This window comes from Homo sapiens, chromosome 8 (assembly GCF_000001405.40).
Source record: "Homo sapiens chromosome 8, GRCh38.p14 Primary Assembly".
In the NCBI taxonomy this organism is placed as follows: domain Eukaryota; kingdom Metazoa; phylum Chordata; class Mammalia; order Primates; family Hominidae; genus Homo; species Homo sapiens.
Genome location: NC_000008.11, coordinates 102550645 through 102572765, shown reverse-complemented (window position 1 = coordinate 102572765; position 22121 = coordinate 102550645). Strand labels below are relative to the sequence as shown.

General features: G+C 44.5%; 1 protein-coding gene across 1 annotated transcript, besides 4 other annotated features; it reads right to left on the bottom strand.

The window, feature by feature from the left end:
- Nucleotides 8096-8215: an enhancer, noted in NCBI's record as "active region_27766". NCBI's record gives its function as "activates an Ori minimal core promoter by ATAC-STARR-seq in GM12878 lymphoblastoid cells {active_cell/tissue: GM12878}" and the evidence as "EXISTENCE:reporter gene assay evidence [ECO:0000049][PMID:35858748]".
- ODF1 (outer dense fiber of sperm tails 1) lies at nucleotides 11748-21177 on the bottom strand. The gene is made up of 2 exons (NM_024410.4): nucleotides 20719-21177; nucleotides 11748-12314 (listed from the first exon to the last, which is right to left on the bottom strand). The coding sequence occupies exons 1-2, from the start codon at nucleotides 21036-21038 to the stop codon at nucleotides 11882-11884; spliced, it is 753 nt and encodes a 250-aa protein (NP_077721.2). The 5' UTR covers nucleotides 21039-21177; the 3' UTR covers nucleotides 11748-11881.
- Nucleotides 15286-15365: an enhancer, noted in NCBI's record as "active region_27765". NCBI's record gives its function as "activates an Ori minimal core promoter by ATAC-STARR-seq in GM12878 lymphoblastoid cells {active_cell/tissue: GM12878}" and the evidence as "EXISTENCE:reporter gene assay evidence [ECO:0000049][PMID:35858748]".
- Nucleotides 15786-15875: an enhancer, noted in NCBI's record as "active region_27764". NCBI's record gives its function as "activates an Ori minimal core promoter by ATAC-STARR-seq in GM12878 lymphoblastoid cells {active_cell/tissue: GM12878}" and the evidence as "EXISTENCE:reporter gene assay evidence [ECO:0000049][PMID:35858748]".
- Nucleotides 17106-17445: an enhancer, noted in NCBI's record as "active region_27763". NCBI's record gives its function as "activates an Ori minimal core promoter by ATAC-STARR-seq in GM12878 lymphoblastoid cells {active_cell/tissue: GM12878}" and the evidence as "EXISTENCE:reporter gene assay evidence [ECO:0000049][PMID:35858748]".

Sequence of the window (22121 nt, the reverse complement as noted above, 5' to 3'; positions counted from 1 at the left end):
TGACTAACATCCATATTTCATGGAGGTTTCTTTAGCTCTTAGTTTTTATGTCACATCCCTTTTCTGTTTCAAGATCCCACTCTGGAGGCCACGTTGCATTTAGTCATCACATCTCCTTCAGCTCCTGTTGGCTGTGACGGTTTCTCAGGCTTTCCTTGTTTTTGTTGACCTTGACAGTCTGCAAAGTACTAGTCAGGCATTCTGCAGGATGTCCCTATCTTGTGCTGTGTCTGGTGTTTTCCTCGTGGCTGGACTGGTGTGAGGGTGCATGCCCCCCACCAGACTTACTGCTGTTGGTACTGACCTTGATCACCTGGCTGAGGTGTGTTTGTCAGGTGTCTTCACTGTGAAGTTACTCTTTCCTCACTTTGCATACTGTGCTCTTTGGAAGGAAGTCACTAAGTGCAGCCCTCACTTAAGGAGTGGAGACTTGAGCTCCACCTACTTGAAGGTGGAGTATCTTCATAAATTATTTGGAATTCATCTGTATGAGAGACTTGTCTCATCTCCCCCATTTAATTTTTTATTCAATTGTTCATTCATAACAGTATAGATGCATGGAAACTTACTTTGTACTTTGGGTTATAATCCAATACTACTTAATTGTGTTGCTTAAATGGTTACGGATTTGACCACTGGGAGCTCTTTTAGTTTGCCCCCATGTCCCTTTGACATGCCCCAGTGATATGGATTGCTTTTAAAGCACTTCCTTACTTTTTGGTACTACAAGATGCTCCAGGTTCCCCTGTGTATTTCCTGCCCCAGTCCTAGAATCAACCATTTCTCCAAGGAGTCCTGATTTCTTAAATTGAAGAATAGCATGAAAAACCAAGTTCTGGGCACAAGATCTGCCCTTTTGTTACTGGGGTGTCATTGTTTCTAGGCTCTCTCAGCTGACAGAGCAAGGAAATATATGTGGGCATACTAACCAGTAACCGGGGTATGTTCCACCATACCCCTGACAATTGCATATATATATATATATATATATATATATATATATATATACACACACACACACACACATACACACACACACACACACACACACACACACACACATATATATGCAAAATAGGGCACTCAAGATAGGAAGCCAGATGATTGACAGATAGATAGATAGACACATATCTATATTTCTGTGTGAACATGAGCTCATTTCTGTGTCTGCAACTGTAATCCATTATCACATGGATCATGCTTGTCACCTCTGCCTGTGTATTTGTAAATTCCCAACCCAACAGTGAGAAACCTGCTCTCACCATCCAGCAATATATATTAATTGTTCAACTTTGGTATACATGGATGGCAGTATCAGAATGTTAACCTGTATCCTGATGGGGAAAAATGTTATCTACTAGAGTACAGTGCTTACGTGCGGTTCTTTTTGCCTTTAGTCTTAGGGACTTTACTCATTCTAAAAGTTACTTAGGTCAGCACCTTTTCCCTCACCCTCTTCAGTGAGATGTTTTGATACATTTGTAATACAGTTAGATTCTTTTGTCACAGTCTGCAGTCTATGCTGAAATCACCTTACCTCCTAAATGATTTTTTAAATACTTGTATACGTTGGACCACTCTTTGTGCTGTAAAGTTCTTTGGGTTTTGACAAATGCATAGCATCCTGTGCCTACCGTCACAGTATCATTCAGAATAGTTTCATCACCCTAAAAAATATCCCCCATGCTTTATTCAACCCTCTATCCCCCTCCCACGATACCCCTGGCAATTGCTGATCTTTTTACTATTTTTATAGTCTTTCTGTTTTGTTTTGCTTTTGAGACAAGGTCTCTCACTTTGTTACCCAGGCTGGAGTGCAGTGGCAGGAACACAGCTCACTGCAACCTTGACCTCCCAAGCTCAGGTGATCCTCCCACCTCAGCCTCCTGAGTAGCTGGGACTACAGCTGTGTGTTACCACACCCAGCTAATTTTTGTATTGTTTGTAGAGATGGGATTTTCCATGTTGCCCTGGCTGGTCTCAAACTCCCAGACTCAAGTGCTGGGATTACAGGCGTGAGCCACCATGCCTCTTTATAGTTTTTTTTTTTTTCCCCTAGAATGCCATATCATTAAAATCATACAGTATACAGCCTTTCAGACTGACTTTTTAAATTTAGTAATATGCATTCAAGTTTCCTTTATGTGTTTTCCTTGATAGCTCATTTCTTTTTATCATAGAATAATATTTCATTGGATGGATATACCACAGTTTATTCATTCACCTATTGAGAGACATCTTGTTTGCTTCTAGTTCTTGGAGATTATGAATAAAGCTGCTACAAACATTCTTCTTGCCCATTTTAAAATTGTTTGTCCTCTGCTTTTCAAATTGACTACTAAGGATATAAATTTTATCAAGTTTTAACTATTTTTTCCTAACTTATTCTTTCTCTATTGGCTTTATTTAGAAATGTAATTGACTATGTCTATATTTCAGCTATGGCTTCTGGGCACTCAGTCTGCCTTAGATTGCTTTCCTCCATTCTAAGCTTAAAAGATGTTCTTCTGAACTTCTCTTTCCTTACATATTATGGGAGAGTGCGTAGACTTAGGCAAAAGTGATAGAAACGCTGCAGAATAGCAGAGGGAATGGAGGGATCGTTACTTGGGGTAGCGCAGGGCTTTGCCTATGAATTCTGAGTAGTTTGTCCTTTGAGCTTTCTAGGATCAGCTCTGAGTGAGGGTTTTCATGGGATCTTTGGACACTGCAGTTCTAGGAGTAAGGAGCTATGTGGCCTGACTTTGGAAAAGAAAAATCAGACCCCAGAGTTGTTTCCCTGAGCCCACCCGTCCCATTCCTGCACCCCTTTATTTGTGTGATCTGTATTTCTCTCCCTGCTAGACCATAAGCACCATAAAGTTGGGGAGCAGGTCTGGCTTTTGATACCTGATTCCTCAATGTCTGGCATGATGGCCTGTGGGCAAGCAGAAAAGCAGATAAGGAGGAAGAAAGGAAAGAAAAGAGTGAAAGAAGCAAGGAAGGAAGGAAGAGAGAAAGGGAGGGAGGGAGGAAGAAAAAAGGAAAGAGAAAGAAAGAAAAAAGGAAGAGAGGGGGAGGAGGGGAGGGGAGAGGAGAGGAAAAGAGAGGAGGGGAGGGGAAGGGAGGGGAGGGGAGAGGAGAGGAGAGGAGGAAAGAAATGAAAGGAAGAAAGAAGGAAAGAAAGCTGATTATTTTCCATTAACCCTAAAAGTCCACTTCAAGTTCTCCTCTGCTCTGCTGTGGGCCCGGGCAGCTAACCCCGTAAATTGCATCATCAGAGTCCCTTGCCTTTGGGTGTCCCACTGGAGCTGGCCAAGGAGGATGCACTATGGGCGAGTTGGAGTCTGGGAGCAAAGAGAGGTGGGAGTATTTATTCCTCTCACTCCCCACCCACTGGGCAGTCCTTCTGGCAGCGGCAGCATCCGTCTACAGCCCAGCTCCTCCTGTGAAGCAGCCCTGGGTCCAGGGCTCCAGCTTTTTCCTGGGCACCAGTAACACCATTGTTTCCCTCCTCTCTGGGCCCAGTGCAAGGACAGCTTCCCTCTGCTGGTAGCTGCTGTGCGCACAGCATCCCTTGTTACTCAAGTGGAGCCACCCTCGTTTCTGTAAAGCCACTTCATTAAAGCCTGTCAGAATCCCAGTGGAATGTCCTCTGTTTCCTGCCTGGACTCTAACAGGTCCCTAAACGGAGAACACAGGGAGAGATGTAAAGGGAGCCTGGAAGGACAAGGGGGCTTCTCAGAAGACCCTCACTCACCTTACTTCCCAGGAGAATTAAACCCCTCAAGACCTGGGGAGCAAGTTCTTGTTATTTCCCTCATTTGTTCTCTGAGGGGAGAAGAAGGCATAGAAAGGACTTGTGTGTGACCCACACAATATGGCCTGAGTCACTCCTGTCACCCCATGATTAGTGGCTCTGTCCTTCCTGTGCCCCTCAGTGCTTGGTTCTATCTCAATAGGTATCCTTGATAAGGTGGCATTGTCACTTATCAGTTTATTTTTTAATTTTTATTTTTTTTTGAAACAGGGTCTCACTCTGTCATCCAGGCTGGAGTGCAGTGGCATGATCTCAGCTCACTGCAACCTCCGCCTCCTGGGTTCAAACAATTCTCATGCCTCAGCCTCCCAAGTAGCTAGGATTTCAGGCAAGCAGCACCGCACTTAACTGATTTTTGTATTTTTAGTAGAGACAGAGTTTCACCATGTTGGCCAGGCTGGTCTCAAACTCCTGACCTCAAGTGATCTTCCTGCCTCAGCCTCCCAAAGTGCTGGGATTACAGGCATGAGCCACTGCTCCTGACCACTTATCAGTTTATATGTCTATCTTCCACACTAGACTAAAAACTCCTAAAAGCCTAAGATTTCTGGTCATGGCCATTCTGCATCCTGCCCGGCTTCTTGCAGGCTGCCCTGCACAGAGTAAGTCCTCACGTGGGTTCACATGAAGAAGGAATAGAGGCTTCACCCACAAATGAACTCTATGGTACACACTTCTAGAATCCACCCCCTTCCTAGGCGGTAGAACAACCCCACTTAGTGGCCCCCGTCCCACTAAGAGCAGAAGTTATTCCAACCACATGGGGTTCTACCTCCAAAGCCCAGGGCCAGTCCCTGAAGGCTAAAAAACCCATTTGACACTGATGATACCGGAAGGTGACTAAGCTGCTGACTCAAGAAAACCAACTTCCTCTTCCAGGATCATCGCCTAATCTATGATCAAGTAGTTTTACTCTGACAAATCCTGGCCTCGTGCTTTCCTGCCACCTTCGCACGGCTCTCCAAGATGTTTGTCTCAATCACCTTTTTTGTCCCTGTACCCTTATTTCTGTTGCCATCTCTCATGTAATCTGAAGGATCTGTGCTAGCTCCTAAACACCTCACTAGGAGACCCTGACCACACACAGGAAACATGAGGGGACCACATCCTCCCATTCCCAAACCAAGAGATGCTCATTAGAAATCTGGGCTGTCCCAGAAAATCTGGAATACACACTCATGATATTTATATACCAACACTAAGCCTTGATCCATTTCAATTAAAATGGTTTTAATAACCCGAAATAAGGCCAGGTGCAGTGGCTTATGCTTGTAATCCCAGCACTTTGGGAGGCCGAGGTGGGCAGATCACCTGAGGTGAGGAGTTCAAGACCAGCCTGGCCAACATGGCAAAACCCTGTCTCTACTAAAAACACAAAAATTAGCCAGGCATGGTGGTGCATGCCTGTAACCCCAGCTACTCAGGAGGCTGAGGCAGAAGAATCACTTGAACCCAGGAGGTAGAGGTTGCAGTGAGCTGAGATCGTGCTATTGCACTCCAGCCTGGGTGACAAGAGGGAAACTCTGTCTCAAAAACAAAAAAACAAAAACAGAAATATAATTAGAAAAAAAAGTGAAGAAAAGTTATTGAAGTGTGTCTGACTGTAGTTGTTTCCACAGACGTGGTGACCATATTCCTTCTAAAGCAGTATTAATCCTAAATGCTCTATTAGGAGAACATTTTAAATGCTAAATATTGTGATTCTTTTGATGTTATGTTGTTTTCAATAAAAGCAGTTGTGTGTATAATAAAGTATGATGTTTTCTACACCGCTGTTGAGACTTTTCATCTAAAATCACAAACCAGAGGACAGCATCAGCTCAGCTCAGCTCAGCCCTGGAGTCATTCCAGCCCAGGTGTCAGGGAATGAAGAAGCCTCCCGAAGATTCCAGCCATTTGGATCTTCCCAGATGAGGGGGACCAAGCATCCCTGCCATGTCCCATCTGAATTTCTGACCTACAGAATTTATGAGCATAACAAAATAGCTTACAGCTCCCACCCCTAAATTCACAAACCAGAGTAAAACTCTTTTGAGACCACTTTCCTTAGTTTGGTGAATAAAAATGCAGTTATCACTAAAATTTGAGTTGAAAAGAAGGGCTATCTTCCCTCCGAGCCTTTCAGACTGGAAATTCTAGGTATTCTGATGCTTGGTGGCCCCCATCCCACTAAAAGCAGAAGTTATTTCAACCACCTGGGGTTATCTCATCCCCTTGTGGGTACTCTGTACTGTGCGAAGAGAAAGGTGACCCGCTGACTGCAAGAGCTTCTAAATGGTGGACCAGTTGCCCAAGAACAGTGTCTGCTGGATTTCAAGCAACCTGCCTGGTGTCCTGGCTCCAGGACTCTTCCTGTCACTGATACATTCTCTGAGGCACACTTGAGGGCCTGGAATCATCGCCTTTGTCGTCTGTCCAAGGCCAGGTTTACATCCACCACGTTGCTGACGTTTGTGTGCCAACAAGTCCCAGGTCTTGGTGTGGCTCAGGGAAAGGGGTATTCAAGTCTGATTGTCAAATGCTCTACACTCATCAGGATCCACAGGCCTAAGCAAGGGGTGTGTTTTGTTTTTGTTTTATACCTTTAGGGACAAGAACAAATACTTACTGCAGCTCCAGATGGGAAGGAAGTGCTTCCAGGTTAGTAATAAAAGCAGTTGCTCCCTGAGGATAAATTCTGAGTCCATCTTCCACCCAGGATCACAAACCGTGTGACTCATCCAGGCCTTGGTTGACAATTGCGCTATGTAAAGGCCAAAAACCCTACAAACTTTACTGGAATTCATCTGGGTCACCCAGCAACACCTTCTCCCTTTACTTGTTTTACAAACCCACAGTCTTCTGGTTTCAGTATCCATTTTAGCTTAACTTTTAGCATAATGTCCTCAGCCAAAGAGCTAAATGAGAGTGTCCCAAACTTTTCCAACCTGTGACACTCATAGACACTTGAATGGGAGAGGAAGACAAAGACAGACAAAGAAAGAAACAGAGAGGGGCAGAGATAGAGACAGAAAAAGAAGGAATTTTTGTGCAAGGAAGAGAAGTTGAAATAATTTTAAAACTTACTTATTCCATTAGTTCTGGGGACATGAAGAATTCACTAAATAAAACTATTTTACAATGACTGAAGAACAGTCACCTGAGGATCTTTAATAATATCATTTTATTTCCTTTTTTTTTTTTTTTTTTTTTTTGAGATGAAGTCTCACTCTTGCGGCCCAGGCTGAGTGCAATAGTGTGATCTTGGCTCACTGCAACCTCCGCCTCCCAAGTTCAAAAGATTCTGCCTCAGCCTCCCAAGTAGCTGGGATTACAGGCACCCACCACCATGCCCGGCTAATTTTTGTATTTTTAGCAGAGATGGGGTTTCACCATGTTGGCCAGGCTGGTCTCGAACTCCTGACTTCAGGTGATCCACCCACCTCAGCCTCCCAAAGTGCTGGGATTACAGGCGTGAGCCACAACGCCTGGCGCAATAATATCATTTTATAAAATAATCCACTACCTGAGCTTTAAAAGAAATCAAATAATACAAGATAGTCATTGGGTATGGATTCTCCCCAGTCCTATACCTGCGAAATTTTAAATTCATAATCCAGTGAAATAGCTCTTTGGCTCTAAAATATATTCCATGAACACTAAGAAGTGTAATGATCAGGCCAGGTGTGGTGGCTCACAGGTGTAATCCCAGCACTTTGAAAGGCTGAAGCGGGCAGATCACTTGAAGCCAGGAGTTTGAGAACAGCCTGGGCAATATATCAAGACCCCATCTCTACAAAAAAAATACATAAAATTTGCCAGGCATGGTAGTATGTTCCTGTAGTCCCAGCTACTCAGGAGGCTGAGGTGGGAGGATTGCTTGAGCCTGGAATTTGAGGCTGCAGTGAGCCAAGATTGTGCCACTGCACTTCAGCCTGGGCGATGGAGCAAGACCCTGTCTCAAAAATAATAATAATAATAAAGAAGTGTAATTATCTTCATTGCTCTTAGTTCTACAGTATTACCAAGCATGTTTATTAGAAGGTGGCACATTTGCCTAATTTACATGTTCATTCATAACATGTGCGGGGCAGTGGAGCAGCTCAGAGCCTCTCGTCTTTCAGTTCCCATGTGGGCCGATTTCTCACTTCTGCACCTTCAAGAGTCACCCCCATTCCCATCTCCCACCCAGGTAGATGGGGTCAGGTGTTTACGGCTGGACCCTGACCTACAAAATTGCATTAAAGGCCACAGCAGAGCTGTCCAAGCTCTGGGGTTCATCTGACCAGCCAAGGGCAATTTTGAAAACAGCAAATGTTTCTTCTTTCCTCTCCTTTGTATCAACTTCCTCCCCATCCTCAGGAACCCAGTTAGTTCATGGACTAAGCCCTGCTCTGTGCCTTTCCTGCAGGCCTCAGACAGGGCCCACAGCCAGGCTCTGCCTCCCACCCAGGCCTGCTTCACCTCCCCGCACTTTCTCTGAGATTGGAGGGCACTTCACTCCCACACTGTTTGATTTACTTCTTGATCCCACACTGTCAAGTGCGCTGACAAGTACATCACGGAGCTTAGTCTTGCCTTAAAATATAGAAGCTCCTGGCACTGTGAATTACTCAGAGCAGTGGACTCAGTAGATACATCCTTGTCTTTCTAGCAAGTCTTTCCCTATAGGGGTGGTGAGCAGACCAAGGCCGCCAATTCCCTGCAGGCCAGACTCAGGCTTACCTGAAGCTTCCTTTGAGACAGGGATGTTGACAATAAATCTTGGGAATGCCCAGGGCCAGTCTGGAAGGCCCATTTGTCCTCTCTAGCTCTTGTACATTCAGTTTCTTTGGCTGTCTCCCCCCTCTACCCTGAGCCCCTTTATAGCATCCCTCCTTGAGTCTAGTGTGAGGCATTTGTGAAAAGGATGCTTTCTCTCTCCATCCCTGTTGCAGAGCACGGTATCTGGCATTCAAAATGATAAAGTCTAGCTGGCAGGTTGATGGATGAATGGATGAGCTGCAGGACCAACAGAAAGGAGGGTGGGTCAGTGTGTGAGTGAATCAAAGAATGAACTGTTCCTAAGAGTGTCCTGGAATGGCGCCCACCAGAGGACAGAAGTTCCTGCTTATCCAACGTGTTAGGACCTCAGTGGATTTATATAAGACACAATAAAATTATCGATAAATGCTTCAGGTTTGTAAAAATATGTTTTTTAGTGTTTATTTTCCACATTGAAGAAGTACTGGTGGCTGCCAAAGACCCCAGTGACATCCCATTGACTCTCTAGGGTGAAATTTCTTCAAAATCATTTTCCAAAAATTTGTATCTTAGAAAATAGAATATTTATAAACATATATTCAAAACATGGCAAGATACTTATACAGGTAAATTTTTGAAATGTTCAATATGTTTTATTCACCACTTCTTTTAGAGGGCCATTACTTCCCTTAATTGGAAGCAAAATATATCTGTTACCACCATCAATATTCTTCAGCCTTGAACTTGAAGGAAGCTTTTTGTCTGTGAATTTTTGTTTGTTTGTTTTGAGACAAGGTCTTGCTCTGTTGCCCAAGCGGGAGTGCAGTAGCATGATCATAGCTCACTGCATCCTCGATATCCTAGGCTTCAGGTGATCCTCCTGCCTCAGCCTCTCAAGTAGCTAGGACCACAAGCATGCGCCATCACACCTAACTATTTTTTTTTTTAATTTTTAGTAGAGGCCAGGCGCAGTGGCTTACGCCTGTAATCCCAGCACTTTGGGAGGCCAAGGCGGGTGGATCATGAGGTCAGGAGTTCGAGACCAGCCTGGTCAACATGGTGAAACCCCATCTGTTCTAAAAATACTAAAAATTAGCTGGGCGTGGTGGCGCATGCCTGTAATCCCAGCTACTTAGGAGTCTGAGGCAGGAGAATCGCTTGAACCTGGGAAACGGAGGTTGCAGTGAGCCGAGACTGCGCCACTGCACTCCAGGTTGAGCAACAGAGCAAGACTCCGTCTCAAAAAATTAAAAAAAAATAATAAATTTTTAGTAGAAATGAGGTCTTGCTATGTTGCCCAGACTGGTCTCGAGCTCCTGGGCTCAAGCGATCTTCTCACCTCAGCCTCCCAAAGTGCTGGGATTACAGAGGAGAGCCACCGTGCCTGGCCTAAAGGAAGCTTTTAAAATAAAAGGCTGGGATAGCTTTAATATCCCATCCAGAGCTTCTCAACCTTAGCTGCATTCTTAAATCACTTGGGAAGCTTTTAAAAGTCACAATGCCCAGGTTGCATCTCAAGTCTATTACATTAGATTATCTGGAGAAAGGACATAGACATCTGTATTTTGTTTTAATTTTTGCCTTTTCTAGTTTTTAGTTTTAGTTTAGCTTTGTTTTTTTATGTTTTGTTTGGCATCCATATTTTTAAAGCGCCCCCAGTGATCCCCATGTGCAGCCAATGCTGAGAACTACTGCCTTCACCCACATGCAGCTGAAACTCATGAAGAGACTTACTGTGCAAACTGGAGGGTTTTATGTTCCCTCTGAGAGTCAGGTTTGAAACCAGCCAGTATCCTCATTCTGATTGTTCCCCATCATCTCGTACTTTCTTTACACTTATTTCAATCCTGGTAATAAAGAATGGCTCATGGGCTGTGTCCTCCAGGCAGATCCAAGTTCAGGTGACTTACGCTATCATTTTGTGAAAGCTGTACTTTTCCACTCCTGAACTTTGAATTGAACTTCTGTGTCTAAAAGCAGTTTCAGAAATTAAGGAAAGGAGACAGGCCAGGTTCAATGACTCACACCTGTAATCCCAGCATTTTGCGAGGCCGAAGCGAACGGATTTCTTGAGCTTAGGAGTTTAAGACCTGCTTGGGCAACACGGCAAAATCTTGTCTCCACCAAAAATACAAAACTTAGCCTGCCTTGGTAACATGCACCTGTAGTCTCAACTACACAGGAGGCTGAGGTGGGAGGATCATTGGAGCCCAGGAGATCAAGGCTGCAGTAAGCCATGATTGCACCACTGCACTCCAGCCTTCGTGACAGAGCAAGACCCTGTCTAAAAAAAAAGAAAAGAGGCCGGGCACGGTGGCCCATGCCTGTAATCCCAGCACTTTGGGAGGCTGAAGCGGTGGATCCCCTGAGGTCAGGAGTTCGAGACCAGCCTGGCCAACAGGGAGAAACCCTGTCTTTACTAAAAATACACAAAAATTAGCCACGCATGGTGCTGCCCGCCTGAAATCCCAGCTACTCAGGAGGCTGAGGCAGAAGAATCGCTTGAACCCGGGAAGCAGAAGTTGTAGTGAGCTGAGATTGCACTACTGCACTCCAGTCTGGAGGACAGAGCAAGACTCTGTCTTAAAAAAAAAAAGAAAAAAGAAAAAAAAAAGAAAGAAAAAAAAGAAAAAGAAAAAAACAGAAAAAGAGATAGTTGTAATAAATCTCAAGCCAGTTGCAAACCAAAGCTGGTATGTTTATGCTTTTTTTTTTTTTAATGTTTTGTTTGGCATCCATATACTAACCAGAGCTGGCCAATCCCCCAAACCACAAGAATGTTGAAAAATGACAAGCTGTATGGCCACCCCGCCTTGGCCAGCAAACATGCCCCTCGTCCCACCTACCACCCCGTAGTTTTTGTATCCTGATCATTGTCCAGTAAAACCACAATCCCACTGTGCTCGAGGAGTCTCTTTTCCAGACTCCCTACTGCAGTAGCTTTGAAAAAGTGTTTCCTTCAACTCTAACTAATCTGTTTCTGCTTTGACCATTTGGTTTCTGGGCTAGGCCATTTCACTGGATCATCTGGAAAACAATGTCTGGGGATGCCCACCAGAAGAGTGTCTTCTCCTGGAGTTTGGAGGTAGTTGAGTATGGAGGAGGGAATGGGAGGGTGGATCTCACCATATCGTCCTTCTATTGCCATCCACTAATTATTCCAATGTTCACTAACTCTGCAGGGCTCCTGCAGTGGGTTTAACCAAAAGACTTTCACACAACACCAGCAGATTGCAGTTATGTATTCAGTTTCCTACGTACTTCAACAACAGGGGCCATGGGAAGGAGAGGAGAAACATTGGGAGAGCTGCCTGGCTGGAGTAACTGACTTCTATTAAGTAATGGGTTCCTATGCGCACTTTACAAAATCATCTTCCTACAGGAAAATCGGCTTCCACAGGGATAACACGGGTTGCAAGGATCATATGGGCTGCACGGGTTGCAGGGGCTGCAGGGGTTGCAGGGGCTGCAGGGGCTGCAGGGGCTGCAAGGAGAAGTGCAAGGGTAGCAAGGAGACTCGATCTTGACACAGCTGCCGAGCCCATAGGAGTATGTTACATCCTTCTCATCCACACAGGGCGGCAAGCTGAACTCTTTGCAGATGTTCATGTAGCTGTACTTTTTCGATCCAAGGCAGTCGTACCTGTTCTCCCGCTCAGCCGACACACATACCTTTCCATCCTTCACTCGAACTTTGACTTGATCGGGTTCAAAACCGCATACATTCACCGATCCTAAAATGTTACTGCTACAGCAGGAGGAAGCCAGAATTCTATTTGTTGTTCTTCTCAGTCTGGAATTGAGAAAAGGGATAGGGTGGGAGGGAGCTCAGACCTCAGAATCCAGACACAGCTTGAGAAGCAATATTTTGATTTCTAGCTTTTGAAATAGCCAAAGTTAATACTAGCCATTGTGAAAATAAACTTTACACAAATGCATGAAGTAAAAAGTGTGAGTCCACCCATGCGAATCACACTGCCCCGCAAGTACACAGCTGTTAACAATGAATGCGTGCTGCCTGCCCTTCCAAATCTTCTCTCGTATTGAAATACCAGCTCCTCCTCTTATTATTGATCCTTGTGTAGGTTCCTTAACCCTTCTGTACCTCAGTTTCCTCATCTGCAAAATGGAGATAATAATAATGATAACAATAATAATGCCTGCATCATATAGGGCTATTGGAGGATTAGATGAGATTATGATATTTTACTTAGCACTGTGCTTCGTACATTATAAATCCTGCTTAATTATTACCACTCTCATTATTATTACTGTAATTAAATTGTGTATATAACTATAATTAAATTATATAAAAATTATATTTTATATTTATATAGATTAAAAAATGGGATATAACTAAGATACCACTTAAAATCTGCATTTTAGAGATGGCTGTCAGCTTTCGAACCCAGCCCTACTGGTTCATGGGACAGGTGCTACCTCTTGCAATTGCACAGAGACAGCCTGAAAGCTCAATCAAACAATGATGGCAGGAGAGCCCTGGCCTGGCTCTGCCCAGGCTGGTGTTGTGTGAAAGTCTTTTGCCCAGCGCCTGGCTCCTCCAGGCTGGGAAGTCACTCTAGCCTCTGGACAGCTAGCACTAGCAGAAAGGCAGTCAGCTGGGTGGGGCCGTGTTGATCAGATACAGAACAACCTCTCAGTGGTGTCCATAATCAGGATCACATCAGCTAGCAAGAGCTGATCGTGTACATCTCTTCCCGATCCCCAGTTAGTACTGCACGCTGATAGCTTGAAATCAATCATAGTCATGATGAGGATATTTACACCATGGAAATTGGAAAATGCTACATATTAGGGCTCTCCTCTGTCCTCACTGCAGAGCTACTGTGGTTCCTACCTTGTTGCTATTCACTAATTCTATTGTGTAAATCCTTAATAAAAATAACAACAGCAGCTCACACTAATTGATCAGTTATGATCCGTCAAGAGGTAGTAAAGCAAAGTGCCTAAGAACAGACTCTGGAACTGGAGTATCGAGGTTTAAAGCTTGGCTCTAACATGTGGATAACTTACTTCTCGGTGCCTCAGTTTCCTCATCTGTAAAACTGGGACAATAAAAATAGCCTACATCATAGGGTTGTTGTGAGGCTTAAATCAGTTAATGCAAGAAAATATTTACAATAATACTTGGCACATAGGATGTTAAGGTTTTGTCTTTTCTTTTTTTTTTTTTTGCAATGTGCTGTGGAAGGTGCTAAGCATGTTAAAGGCATATTTCATTTAATCTTTACAATAATAACTGTGATGCAGATGTAATTATCACTATATCACTTTTGTATGTTGAATTTTGTTTATGCAGTTACTTCTTTTTGTTACATAAGTTATACAAGTTCATTGTAGAAGACTCAAAATACAGATAAGTAAACATATGGACTATTTTAAAAATACCTATAATCTCATATAACCCTTAGCATTTTGGTGTTTGACTTTATGTGAGTGTGTGTGTGAGTATGTGTCTGTGTGTGTGTGTGTGTGTGTAGTTCTATATACATGTAGAGAGAGAGTTTTGTATGTGTTCTTATGAAATCATGCTATACGTACTGATTTTTATCTGTATTTTCCACTTAAGCCCTAACATGATTAGATAACAGTTTGAGTGCTCACTACCCTTGTACTGAAAGTTACAGATCAAGACTCTTAGTGGCTAATTATAAAATGATCAAACAGAACTCAGTCCCAGAAGACACTGAGGCAAACAGAAACAACTTGTGTAATACACCCAGAGGACTGTATTCAGTCCCATTTCTTTTTTTTCTTTTTTCTTTTTTTTGAGACGGGGTCTCGCTCTGTTGCCCAGGCTGGAGTGCAGTGAGGCGATCTCTGCTCACTGCAAGCTCCGCCTCCCAGGTTCATGCCATTCTCCTGCCTCAGCCTCCTGAGTAGCTGGGAGTACAGGTGCCCGCCACCATGCTCGGCTAATTATTTTTTGTATTTTTAGTAGAGAAGGTGTTTCACCGTGTTAGCCAGGATGGTCTCGATCTCCTGACCTTGTGATCCGCCCACTTCAGCCTCCCAAAGTGCTGGGATTACAGGCGTGAGCCACCGCGCCCGGCCTCAGCCCCATTTCTACCTCTGGCCCCATGAAACCTGGGGGTGGCATGGGGCATGATTGTCTTTCTTGCCCTGGGTGTGCCAGGGTACCCTATGCCACACTAACAAGAAGTAGGAGAATTTTGAACTGTTTGAAATCTTTATCTTTGTGAGGTAAGCAGGAGAACAAGCACTCTATCTTGCTGGATGGGCAGAAAATAGCTCACAAAGATTCAGGGAACCAGCCCAAACTCCAGGCATGGTACCCTCTCTGGATAGATTACAGGCTTAAAGCCAGAGCAGCCAAGGCCAAGGGGAAGCACAGAGCAAGATGGGCACTCTCTGGGCCTTTCAAGACTCTCCCACGGTGTGTGCATGGTCTGAGAATCAAACTTCTCCTGTTCAGCTCAGATCTTCTCATATGAGATGAGAAACATCAAATCCCACCAGGATGATGCAGCCAGGCCTCCTAAAGGAGGGCCAAGGGCCCCAACTAGGAGTCCTTGCTAGTGGCCCTGGCTATGGCCACAGCTGGTTTTGGCAAAGCCCTCTTGACCTCCACAGAAGCTGGATCTGGGAGCCAGGTCTATAAGCCCAAGTCAGCGCCCAGATTCATCTCTAAGTAACCTGGGTCCCAGGGCACAATTTCATGTATTTTGTTGCTTGGGTTCCTCTTTTTTCTCTATTCTGGTCACTTTGGCTCCTGTGGCTCTGCGACAGCACACAAGGATCTCACAAATGTCTTCAGGAAGTTGCCCAAAAAGTCTTGGCCAGATCATACTTCTTTTTCTTCTTGCTTCTAAGTCAGTGGTTATCAGGGAAGATGTGTTGGTTTAGGGGAAACTGCAGAAGCCACATTTTACTCATCAGACTCAACTCTGAACTTGCAATTTGACTCCTGCCTGGTGATGTCCCCATCACCCCACCTGGAATTTTCCATGGCTCTATGGGGTTCTGCGCAAAGGGAGTTTGCCTCCTATACTTGTTATCATGGGGGCGAAGCTTAGTCTCAATAAACATAGGGAAATCAGCTCCTTTGCAGAAGCCTCTTAGGAAAGCTGGGGAAAGCTAGCAGACAGCCAGTGCCTGTGTCTGCTGCTCTGTGCGGCCTCCTCTCCTCCCTGCTAATGCTAAATTTCACCCGGATGTACAACCAAACTCCCGAATATGAAACATGCTGCCCACAGCAATGATCAGCTGCATACCCAGCCATCTTCTCAAAGATAAAAATCAGATTTAACCCGGTCATGAATAAAGTAATGAAGATGTGAAAAATGTCTACCTCTATCAGGGAACCAGGTGGGGCAGGCCTTCCTCTAGGCTTCATTGGAGTACTTTGCTTTTTCTCCTGAATTTAGCCCCATCCCAAAGACCCATTTAAACTCAATCCCTCTCTTTCCAACACATCTTTTTCCTTCTCTTCTCCTTTCTTCTCCTTTTCTCTTATTTTCCAGCCTTTTCTCTCTTCTCCAGGCTTTTGGGTTGATACTGAGGACAATGTCACTCAGCAGGGAGCCAGGCAGCATGGCACAGGTGCATCTGACTCTCCTGCAGGGTTTGTTAAAACACAGGTGGCTGATTAGCCAGGCGTGGTTGTCCGCACCTCTAGTCCCAGTTACTCAGGAGGCCGAGGCAGGAGAATCGCTTGAACCCAGGAGGCAGAAGTTGCAGTGAGCCGAGATCACACCACTGTACTCCAGCCTGGGCGCCAGAGCAATACTCCATCTCAACAAAACAAAACAAAACAAAACAAAACAAAACAACAACAACAACAAAAAACACAGGTGGCTTGATCCCACCCCTAGAGTTTCAGAGGTTTCAGAGCTAGCAGGTCTAGGGTGGAGCTGAGAATCTGCAGTTCTAACATGCTGCAGGTAATGCTACTAATCAGCTTCAGGGGCCACACTACGAGAACCACTGACCAGAGATTAAGCTCACGGATTCCAGACTCGGGCACACACAGCTTCAAGTCTTGGCTCTGCCACCACCTAGTGATCAAGAACATGGCCCCTGACTCTGTTTCATTGTCTGTAAGATGACCAAGATAATATCACCCAACATGTCACCCATGTTACAAGGCTTAAATGAACATGAAGTGCTAGTAACAGTTTCACTCAATAAAGTGTATGTCTTCTTAATCAAGCTGCACCAGGCCCCACCTTACATGGACTTGCCCTAATCTGAAGCTTTAAGTCTTATATCAATAAACAGCAAGGTCAAACCAAATCATACCAATGCATTTGGCCTAGATGGGGAGAGACTCTTACCCCCACAGCCAAGGGGTGACTGAGCTCTGAGAACTATGGATGTGAAGAGTCTATGATGAGAGGCAGCCAAGGGCCCAACTCACTTCCACTTCTGCAGAGGACACAGAGGTTAACAAGGGAGAGCTCCCCTCAGTGGGAGTGGAAGAGCCAGCCTTTCACCAGCCAGAAAGCCCCATAGGGCTCACTTATACTCCGACCTCTGGGTCAGAGAATGAGAGAGACTAGAATGTTTTCTCTGAGGGCTTAGACCTGGGCAAGGCACCTCTAAATCCACAAAGAGCTCACCATGAGGCCTGACTGTCATCAGCCTCACCAAGCAAGAGTGGATTCAGTGAAAACCTCATCCTCAGAGCATGAAGGGGGAACCAAGAAATGAGAAGGCAGATTTTTGAAGTTTTGAGAGTGCCCCTGGTGTGGGGATTTCAAGGGAATTTTTCACTGAGATTCGTGCCAACAACAGACACTTGGGTACGTGGACAGAAACACGGTCTCAGGATTCGTTTCTAGGTACCGGTAAAGAGTACAGCTGTAAATCAAGGTTCATTTGCTCACGAGGACTGCTTGGTGTCCTGGCCACATGGGGCACCCATGAATTAGATCATAAACTCCTAGGGCAAGATTGAGGAGGGCCTGGGTTTTGTTTCTCCGGCTCTAAGACAGAGGGCAGGGAAGCCCATGAAATGTGGTGGTGAATCAGTTACAACTTAAATCAGGCTGGTGGCATGGCTTCCGACAAAGGAAACCAATGCAGTCCCCTCAGCCCCTCTAAATCCAGAAGAGGGAGGAAGAGACAGGGACACTGCCTGCCTCTTGGGGAGGAAAAGAGGATATCAAAGAAGCTACAGAAACAAAGGTGCTTACTTGGGTCTCTACTAAGGAAGACACTGCCAACATGGTGTCTTCTGAAGCAGCTGCCCAATAAAGAATGGAAATGGATTGGATTTTCTTTTATTTATTTATTTATTTTTTGAAACAGGGTCTCTTTCTATTGTCCAGGCTGGAGTGTAGTGGCATAATCATGGCTTACCGCAGTCCTGACCTCCCAGGCTCAAGCAGTCCTCCCACCTCAGCCTCCTGAGTACCTGGGACCACAAGCATGTGCCACCACACTTGGTTAATTTTTTTATTTTAATTTTTATAGAGATGGGGACTCCCTGTGTTGCTCAGGCTGGTCCCAAACTCCCGGACTTGAGCAATTCTCCTATTACAGCCTCCCAAAGTGCTGAGATTACAGGTGTGAACCACTGCACCCAGCTTGGATTGGATTTTCTATGCCCAGTCTAAGAAAACACCACACACATGCATCAATCAAATAACATATAGTCAGGAGTGCTCAAGAAACCTGTGGGATCAATTAAGAAATTGTTGGTTGAGGCTTTTTACCAGTTATTAAAGGAGGACCCAGAGACACAGCAGATTGACTGTGACACAGAAAAACAGTTTCAAGGGGGCCAAGGCAACTATAGACTATAGAGTCTTTACTTCATATTGGGCAAAGAACCTTCTGGACAACACAGCCTGCCATCTGAAAGGATATGTCATAACTAACCAACCCCCTTGCATTCTTTAAAGGGGAGGAAGGTCATGTGAATATGAATTCTAAACTCAAAAAGCCTTGGGCAAGCTTTCACACCAAAGATTGTTTTAAAAAATTGAATCAACATGATATTTCTGCATCTATTTAGTTATGGATCAGGCGCTAGCTTAGAGATAAGAATAAAAGGCACTGCACTAGAAGAAAAAATACTACACTGGGGGCCTTCTGGGACTGAGGCTAGAATCAGGGTTTAACATTTTCACCCATATTCAGGAAAATTGAATATTTAGGTTTGCAAGTGACACTAAGCCCTTCTGGAGAGTGAAATGTCAAGTTGTCAGAAATAGAGCATAGAAATTTCACAAGGTGGTGTGAATTGGAAGAGATAAAGCGGACAAGCCTGAGGTCATTTCTACAATGGACTTGGAGTTATCATTTCCGAGATCCAGAAATTAATGTAAAGACATCACCAGCTTCACATATTGCCTGCAGGCAGAGAAAAAATAGGCAAAGACCCAGACGCTGTCAGGAAGAGCATCACAAACCAGAGAAAACATTACCTCTTGCCTAAACTACACTGCCGAGAATTAAGCTTGAAGCTGTTTCTACTGCATGCCAAGAAACAAGGCTTCTGAAAGAGGCATCAAGAGAGTAGACAGCACAGGACAGAGAGGGATTTTAATTGGTAGAGTCTGGGGATAGGAGAGAAGCCAGGAAGACAGAGGCTGGAAAGACCTGGACAAGGGTATTCAAGTATCCAAAAGTAGGAGGAGAGTGGATACTGATCTGCTCACAAGGAAACCTTAACTTGGACCAAATATTTTAAAAAGAGTCCCTGCCTCACAGTGTGAGCAATTTATGTGACTTGATGCCCTAAGAAATAAAAACAAACATTGGTTCAAAGAGTATAGATGAATTTACAGGTGAAAGCTCCCAGGCTATGAGGGAGGTTCATTCCTGACCATTGGTGGCTGGTGACCTAGACAATAATTATCCTTTTTTTTTTTTTTTTTTTGAGACAGTCTCACTTTGTCACCCGGTCTGGAGTGTAGTGGTGCAATCTTGGCTCACTGCAACCTCTGCCTCCTGGGTTCAAGTGATTCTCCTGCCTCAGTCTCACGAGTAGCTGGGATTACAGGCACGTGCCACTACGCTTGGCTAATTTTTTTTTTTTTTTTTTTTTGTATTTAGTAGAGATGGGGTTTCACCATGTTAGCCAGGCTGGTCTCGAACTCTTGAGCTCAGGTGATCTGCCCGCCTCCGCCTCCCAAAGTGCTGGGATTACTGGCATGAGCCAATGCACCCGGCCTCCTATTGCTTTTTCCAAAGAAACATCACTGTCACTGTTGTCAAGAGACTCTATCTATCTATCATCTATCTATCTATCTATCTATCTATCTATCTATCTATCTGTCATCTGTCTATCAGTTTTTCTGCACTTTGCTTGTTTGACTTAATACATCAATATGTAAGATGCTTCATCAATCCTTTCTATATTTACTTATTATTCCAGTGCATGAATGTATTATTTATTTAACCAGGGACAGCACTTTCAACCATCTTTTTCATCAACAGTAACAGACTAAATGGCATATGTAAAAAGTTAGAAAAGGAAAGTTTTCTCCAGGCAAAAAGAAAATATAATCTAAAACAAAAATTTTTTTAAAAAACTGACTCTTTTTAATTACCCAATTCAATTAAAAAGCCTTTCAAGTCTATCCTGAAAGCTACAACTCAGTGCCATAGTTTATTTGCAAGACCTTTGCTAGAGTTAGAGGGGAGGCCAACATGATAGACCTAATTCCAGATACAAGGTAAGTCTTTGCCTGGAGTGGGGGGATAGGAGAATGATATTCCCACAAAACCAAGGCAATGCCTCTACTGTTCAATTTGCTCTCCTGCTTGTAAAGCCTCTGGCACACATTAAGGATTTGATCTATTATTATTACTTCTCCTGTAGTCATTTCTGTAAGTCCAAATATACTCAAATCACTTTACTCATAACCAGGAAAAATGTTTAGTTTGCTGCTTCCAATGGCTTTTTAATGACACCCCCTGTTTCTTCCCTTCATTAAAGCCGCATTATTTATCATACTGGCATTCTTGCTATAAACCACCGACGACCTTGCCAATCGACATCATTACATTGTCTTTTGAGAACCCTACAATTCCCATCATGGACTCATTTACTCTTCTTTCCTTAAATCTTTCCTAAGTCACCAGGGTCATTATCCTGAACCCTTTTAATCTTTGTTCAACTATTGATTGTCACATATTTTTCCTTATTCCAACTTATAAGGCTAATATACCGACTATAAAAATTTAAAAATAAGTTATTTTACTTGGCAAGCTCTCGCTTCTCATCTTCTATGGCTCTGATGGCTTTCCTCTCCAAACTTCTGAGAGATGGTCGCAGACAGTAAAGCTTATAATCACACAGGCAACATGGGTAGAGATCACACAGGCCGCAAGAGCGTGATCGCTTGGAATAGCACAAGCAGTACGGATATGGGTGCAAGTCACAGCAGCAATAGGGGTGCATATACAAGTCGCACAGGCACCGTGTGCTAAATTCGTCGATGCATCTCAGTTGCCTTAGTTCTCTGTCCACCTTCTTTATGTCCCTTCTGACACTGTCCAAGAGACAACTCAGTGCAGCCATTATGGTCACACCTGATTGTTCTGTGAGTACCTTTGGGAAATGGCACTCCGGGAAAAAATTTGTTCTAAGCCCTTCTCAGAAGTTGCTTTTAAAAATAAATGAGGCACACATGATTCACTTACTTTAAAGCTTGTGTTCTATGACCTCACCACCTTCTGAAGTATGTCATAGTCTTCTGGTTACCATGTGAACTGTACACAGTCATGGTCTCCAGAGACCATCCTCAGAGTTACAGAGCTACTCTCAGAACCATACTCGTGTTGAGATTTCACTCACCTTCAAGGAGGATGGGTCTCCCAAGCGAGCATAGCTCATCGGGGTGCATGGGGCTGGCCACTAACATCCTTGCCTTGTGTGTGCTCTGGGGACCAGCCATGGCTATGACTGTGTGTTTGTTGAACTTGGTGCAGGCGAAGGCAGGAGCTGCCCACGCCTTTCTCCATGACCTTCTAGCTCTAGCCTTGATTGGAAGCTTGGCCTTGCTCCTTTTGTTCTAGAATTCATTCTGTCTCCAGACAGGTAGAATATAAAGAATGTTCTCATCATTCTCCTCCTACCAAGTCATCCTCAAGTCAGCCATTGTCCTTGACCTTCTGAGTTACAAGTCTCTGAGTCCTGCCCATTCTGCGCCAGCTGTGGTCATGGCTGTTCGGGAACCTCATTTCTCTACTGGTTGGGGGTCCTGTCCTTAAGCTCCCATCTGTCAGTCCTCGGGGGCCTGTCCTGGGGAACTACCTCCCATCAACTACACCTTTGGTCTTGCATCCAAGCCTCCGGATGTCTTGTCCCTGAGTGCTTCCCAAATGTTGGTCTTTGATGTTCTTGTAGCCAACCGCCTGAAGATGCTGGAAGCCAACTGCCTGAAACCCCCGCTTCGGCCAGTTTCCTTTACTTTCTGTTCAGTTAACATCCTAGACCTCTGATTCGGCCTCAGATTTGGCTCTCGGTGCCTCTACTCCTCTGGTCCTTTCACCTCAAACTGCGGTCCAGCTCTCGAGTCTCCCTTGTATGAACTAGAGCTCAGGTATTGATGACAAGTGGTTGGATGTGACACTGGTGAGGGAGACAAGGGCCAGGTTTGAA

Coding starts and splice junctions, on each gene's coding strand:
- ODF1 (NM_024410.4), bottom strand. CDS start 21,038: ATGGCTGCACTGAGTTGTCTCTTGGACAGTGTCAGAAGGGACATAAAG. Junction 12,315..20,718: donor GAGAAGCGAGAGCTTGCCAA/GTAAAATAACTT, acceptor TCTCAATTCCAG/ACTGAGAAGAACAACAAATA.